This window comes from Homo sapiens, chromosome 1 (assembly GCF_000001405.40).
Source record: "Homo sapiens chromosome 1, GRCh38.p14 Primary Assembly".
NCBI classification, from domain to species: Eukaryota; Metazoa; Chordata; class Mammalia; order Primates; family Hominidae; genus Homo; species Homo sapiens.
This window is the reverse complement of record NC_000001.11, coordinates 98,515,770-98,522,608: the sequence shown is the minus strand read 5'-3', so window position 1 is coordinate 98,522,608 and position 6,839 is coordinate 98,515,770. Positions and strand designations below refer to the sequence as shown.

At 37.0% G+C, this 6,839-nt stretch overlaps 1 annotated feature.

The window, feature by feature from the left end:
* Positions 5,343 to 6,542: an enhancer, noted in NCBI's record as "MED14-independent group 3 enhancer chr1:98981623-98982822 (GRCh37/hg19 assembly coordinates)". NCBI's record gives its function as "activates an origin of replication core promoter dependent on BRD2, BRD4, P300/CBP and CDK7 cofactors, and independent of MED14, by STARR-seq in HCT116 cells {active_cell/tissue: HCT116}" and the evidence as "EXISTENCE:reporter gene assay evidence [ECO:0000049][PMID:35650434]".

The window sequence follows — 6,839 nt, the reverse complement described above, 5'->3', positions numbered from 1 at the left end:
TATCAAAAGTGTATGAGGGTTTCCTTTTCCCCATGTTCTTGCCAGCATTTGTTATTGCCCTTCTTTTGTATAAAAACCATATTAACTAGGGTGAGATGATATCTCATTGTAGTTTTGATTTGCATTTCTCTGATAAGCAATGATATTTAGCACTTTTTCAAATACCTGTTTGCTATTAGTATGTCTTCTTTTGATAAATATCTAGTCAGATCTTTTGTCCTTTTTAAAAATTGGATTATTGTATTTTTTTTTCCTGTAGAGCTGTTCACATTCCTTATATATCCTGATTATTAATTCCTTGTCAGAGGGGTAGTTTACAAACATTTTCTCCCATGCTGTGAGTTGTCCTTTCACTTTATGGATCCTTTCCTTTTCTATGTAGAAGTTGTTTAACTTGATGTGATCCCATTTGTCCATTTTTGCTTTGGTTGCCTGCGCTTTTGGGGCATTCCTCAAGAAATCTTTGTCCAGTCCAATTTTCTGGAGAGTTTCCCCAATGTTTTCTTGTAGTTGTTTCACAGTGTGAGGTCTGAGATTTAAGGCTCCAATCTATTTTGATTTGACTTTCTTATATGGTGAGAGATAGAGGTCTATTTCATTCTTTTGCATGCAGATATCCAGTTTACTTAACATCATTTATTGAAGAAACTATCTTTCCCCTAGTATATGTTCTTGGCATCCTTGTCAAAAATGAGCTCACCGTAGATGTATGAATTTATCTCTGGGTTTTCTATTTTTGTTCCACTGATTGTTGTGTCTGTTCTGATGCCAGTACCATGCCTTTTTGGTTACCATAACTCTGCAGTGCAATTTAAAGTCAGGTAATGTTATTCTCCCAGTTTTGTTCTTTTTTTTTGCTTGGGATAGCTTTGGCTATCCTGGGTCTTTAGTGCTTCCATATAAATTTTAGGATTTTTAAAATTTTTGTCTAGTCATTGGTATTTTGATAGGGTTTGCATTAAATCTGTAAATTACTTTGGATAGTATGGACTTTCTAACAATTTTGATTCTTTAAATCCATGAATATGAAATATCTCTTATATTTTTGTGTCCTCTTCCATTTCTTGCATCAATGTTCTATAGTTTTCATTGTAGAGGTCTTTCACTTCTTTTGTTAATCCTTATATATTTTATCTTAGTTGTAACTATTGTAAATAAGATTACTTTCTTGATTTCTTCTTCAGGTTTTTTGTTTTGGCATATAGAAATGCTACTGATTTTTGCATGTTGATTTTATAGCCTTCAACTGTACTGAATTTGTTTATCAGTTCCAATAGTTTATTGGTGGAGGCTTTAGGTTTCTCCAAATATATAATCATATCAGCTGCAAATAAGAATAATTTGATTTCTTCCTTTTCAATTTGAATGTGGTTTATTTCTTTCTTTTGTCTGATAGCTCTAGCTAGGACCTCCAGCACTACGTTGAATAATAGTGGTGAAGGGGGCATCCTTGTCTTGTTCCACATCTCAGAGAAAAGGCTTTCAGTTTTTCCCCATTTCGTATAATACTAGCTGTGGGTGTGATGTATGTGGCTTTTATTATGTTCAGGTGTGTTCTGTGTACACCCAGTTTTTTTAGGGTTTTTATCATGAGGTGATGTTGACTTTTATTAAATGTATTTCCAGCATCAATGGAAATGATCACATAGTTTTTGTCTTTCATTCTGTTGTTATAATGTATTGCATTAATTGATTTGCATATGTTGAAGCAGACTTGCATCCCTGGCATAAATCCCAGTTGGTCATGATGCATGCTATTTTTAATGGGTAGTTGAATTCAGCTTGCTAGTATTTTGTTAGAATTTTTGCATCAATATTCATCAGAGATATTGGCCTATAATATTTGTTTGATGCCTATGATATTTGTTTGATGTGTCTTTGTCTGGTTTTGTTATCAGGGTAATACTAGCCTGTCGGAATGAGTTTGGAATTATTCCCCCCTCATCTATTTTTGGGAATAGTTTAAGTAAGATTGGTATTAGTTCTTTTTTAAATGTTAGGTAGAATTCAGCAGTAAAGCCATTGGGTCATGGACTTTCTTTGCTTGGAGAATTTTTATTATGGCTTATATCTCATTATTTGTTATTGGTCTGTACAAGTTTTGGATTTCTTCATGGTTCAATTCAAACTTCATATGTATGTGTCTAGGCATTTATCCATTTCCTCCATTTCTTTTAGATTTTCCAATTTATTAGCATACAGTTGCTCTTAGTAGCCACTAATGATCCTTTAAATTTCTATGGTAACAGTTAAAATGTCTCCTTCTTCATCTCAGATTTTATTTATTTGGATTTCTTTCTTTTTTTCTTAGTCTGGATAAAGGTTTGTCAATTTTGTTTATCTTTTCAAAAAAATAACTTTTTGTTTGATCCTTTGTATTGTTTTGTTCATTTCAATTTCATTTATTTCTGCTCTATTCATTATTATTTTTTCTACTAATTTTGGGTTTAATTTGCACTTGCTTTTTTAGTTCAAGATGAATCATTAGGTCATTTATTTGAAGCATTTGTTCTTTTTTGATATAGGCATTTATGGTGAAAAACTTCCCTGTTTGTACTACTGTAACCCATAGATTTTGGTATGTTATGTTGTCCTCATCATTTGTTTCATGAAACTTTTTAATTTACTTCTTAATTTCTTCATTGACCTACTGGTCATTCAGGAGCATATTGTTTAATTTCCGTGTTGATATGGTTTGGTTCTGTGTCCCCACCAGAATCGCATCTTGAATTGTAATACCCATAATCCCCATGTGTCGAAGGCAGGGCCTGCTGGGGGTGACTGAATCATGGGTATGGTTTCCCCCATGTTGTTCTTGTTACAGTGAGTGAGTTCTCACAAGATCGATGGTTTTATACATGTTTGACAGTTCTTTCCACACATGCTGTCTCTCACTTGCCACCATGTAAGATGTTCCTACTTCCCCTTCCTCCATGATTGTAAGCTTACTGAGGCCTCCCAAGCCATGCAGAACTGTGAGTTAATTAAATCTCTTTGCTTTATAAATTACCCAGTCACAGGCAGTTCTTTATAGCAGTGTGAAAATGGATGAATACACATGTATTTGTATAGTTTCCAAAATTCCTCTTGTTATTGATTTCTATTTCATTATGGTGGGAAAGATGCTTGATATTATTTCAATTTTTTGAATGTTTTAAGACTTGTTTGGTGACCTAACCTATGGCCTATCCTTAAGAATAATCCATGTGCTGAGGAAAAGAATGCATATTCTGCAGCTATTCGTTGAAATAATCTGTAAACATCTATTAGATACAATTGGTCTTATAGTGCAGATTAAATCTGATGTTTCTTTGTTGATTTTCTGTCTACGTGATCTGTCCAAGGCTGAAATTGGGGCATTGAAGTCTCCAGTTATTCTTTTATTCTGGCCTATCTCTCTCTTTAGCGCTAATAATTGCTTTTTATATGTGGGTGCTCCACTGTTGGGTGTATATATACTTAGAATTGTTACATCTTCTTGCTGATTTGACTCCTTTATCATTACATACTGACCTTCTTTGTCTTTTCTTAGTTTTTGTCTTGAAATCTATTTTGTCTGATATAAGTGGAGTGCCTCCTACTCTCTTTTGGCTTCCATTGGCATGGAATGTCTTTTTTCATTCCTTTTCAGTGCACTTGTGTCTTTATATGTTACATGTGTTTCCTGTAGACAACAGATCATTGCATCTTGTTTGTTTGTTTTTTTTTTAATTCATTCAGCCACTCTATGTCTTTTGATTAGAGAGTTTAGTCCATTTACATTCAATGTTATTATTGATAAGTACAGACTTACTCCTGCCATTTTGTGATTTGTTTTCTGGTTGCTTTGTGGTCTTCTCTTCCTTCCTTCTTTCCTTCCTTTGTGTCTTCCTCTTAGAGAAGGTGATTTTCTCTAGTGATATGGTTTAATTGATTTCTTTTTATTTTTTGTGTATCTGTTGTATGTTTTTTGATTTCAGATTACCATGAGGCTTGCAAATATTGTCTTATAACCCATCATTTTAAGCTTATAACAAATTAACACCATTTGAACAAGCAAACAAACAAGCAAAAAAAAAACCAATAAAAACTCTACACTTTAACTTTGTCCTCCCACTTTATAACTTTCTTGTTTTTATTTTTATCTTATTGTACCGTGTATGTCCTGCAAAGTTGTAATTATTATTTTTGATTGGTTTTGTCTTTAAGTTTTTCTACTTATGAGTAGTTTACATATCACAATTACAGTGCTGTGATATTCTGTGTTTTTCCGAGTACTTAGTATTACCAGTGAGTTTTGCATGTTCAGATGATTCCTTATTGCCTGTTAGTGTCCTTTTCTTTCTGACTGAAGTACTCCCTTTAGCATTTAGTGTAGGACTGGTCTGATGTTAATGAAATCCCACAGCTCTTGTTTGTTGGGGAAAGTCTTTATTTCTCCTTCATGTTTGAAGGGTATTTTCACTGAATATATTATTCTAGGGTAAGAAAAAATTTTCCTTCAGTGCTTTAAATATGTCATACCATTCTCTCCTGGCCTATAAGTATTCCACTGAAAATTCTGTTGCCAGATGTATTGGAGCACCATCGTATGTTATTTGTTTCTTTTTCTCTTGCTCCTTTTAGAATGCTTTCTTTATCCTTGACCTTTGGATTTTGATTATTGAATACTTTGAGGTAGTCTTCCTTGGGTTAAATCTGCTCAGTGCTGTATAACCTTCTTGTTCTTGAGTACTGGTATCTTTCACTAGGTTTGGAGAGTTCTCTGTTATTACCCTTTGAATACATTTTCTACCTTTGTCTCTTTCTCTACCATCTCTTTAAGGTCAATAACTCTGAGATTTGCCAGTTTGAGGGGTTTTTTTATATCTTGCAGACATGCTTCATTCTTTTTTATTTTTATTATGTCTCATCTGTGTATTTTCAAATAACCTGTCTTCAAGCTCACTGATTCTTTCTTCTGCTGGATCAATTATGCTATTAAAAGATTCTATTACATTATTCAATGTGTAGCTGCATTTTCAATTCCATAATTGCTACTTGATTCTTTCTAATTATTTTGATATCTTTGTTAAATTTATCTGATAGAATTCTAAATTTCTTCTCTGTGTTATCTTGAATTCCTTAGAGTTTCCTTAAAACAGCTATCTTGACTTCTCTGTCTGAAAAGTCACATATGTCTGTCGCTCCATGATTGGTCTCTGGTTCCTTATTTAGTTCATTCGGTGTCGTCATATTTTCCTGGATGGTCTTGATGTTTTTGGATGTTTGTCTGTGTCTGGGCATTGAAGAGTTAGTGGGGCATTTATTGTAGTCTTTACAGTATGTACTTGTTACACCTGTCTTTCTTGGGAAGGTGTTCTGGGTATTTGAAAGGACTTGGGTGTTGTGATATAAACCATATCTGCATTACTGGGCACCCCAAACCTAATAATGCTGTGATTCTTGCAGACTCATGGAGGTACCTCCTAGATGGTGTTGCATAAGATGTGGAAGAATTCTCTGTATTACCAGGCTGAGACTTTTGTTCTCTTCCCTTACTTTCTCACAAATAAATGGAGTGTCTTGGTTCTGAGCTGCCTAGAACTGGGGGTGGTGTGACACAAGCACCCCTGTGGCTACCACCACAGGGAGGACTGTGCTGGGTCAGACCTGAAGCAAGCATAGCACTGAGGTTCATCCAAGGCCAATAGTAACCATTACCTGACTACTGCCTGTATTCGCTCAAGGCCCTGGGGCTCTACAATCAGCAGGTAATGAAGCCAGCCAGGCTTGTATCCTTCCTTTCAGTGCAGCAAGTTCCCCCCAGGCCCCAGCTGTACCCAGAAGTGTCACCTGGGAGGCAGAGATTACAGTAAAAAACCTTAGAAGTCTCCTTGGTATTCTGTTGTAGTGTGGCTGAGCTGGCACTCAAACCATGAGATGCAGTCCTTCCCACTCTTCCCTCCCTTTTCATATGCAAAGGAGCCTCACTCTGTGGGTACCACCACACACCCATGAGGAGTCTTTCCAGGCAACTGTTGATGTTTCTTTAAAGCCCACGGACTCTCTTTAGTCAACTTTTGGTGAATGCTACCTGGCTCAGGACTCACCCTTCAGGGCAATGAGCTGCCTTCTGGCCTAGGGCAAGTCCAGACATGCCATCCTAGAGCCAAGGTTTGGAATCAGGGACTCCAAGAGCCTGCTTGGTGCTCTACCCCACTATGGACAGTCTGGTACCTAAAGTGCAAGACAAAATCTGCTTAACTTTCCCTTTTCTTTTCTCGAGCAGGAGTTTCTTCCTATAGTCACCACAGCTGGGAAAGTGCTGAGTCTCACCTGAAGCCAGCAAGTTTCAGAGTCTCACCCAAGGCCCAAGGCATAATACTGGGATATCTCTGCTGGTTATTTAGGGCCCAAGAGCTCTTTATTCAGCATGTTATGGGTCCTTCCAGGATTGGATACTTCTCTTCAAGGTAGCAGGTTCCCTTCTGGCCTTGATGTGTCTAGAAATGTCAGCTGAGAGCTGGGGCCTGGAATGGGTACCTCACAAATCTGACTGGTACCCTATCCTACTGTGGCTGAACTGGTGTCCACAATTCCAGACAAAGCCCCCTTTACTCTTCTGTCTCCTCTCCTCAAGCAGAAGGAAGGGGTCTGTTTTGGAGCTGTGAGCTGTGCAGCCTATGATTGAGGAAGGGATAGCTCAAGCACTCCCTTGGTAGCCCCAGATGGTGTCTCATAGATCACATTTTCCCCATCCACTGGCTCTAAGCCCAGTTCAGTAGTAGGACCTGCCTAGAAATTGTAGTCCTTGTAGCCTAGACTGACTTTCAAGTTTATTTAGAACCCCAGAGCCCTTTATCCTCCAGTAGCGAGGC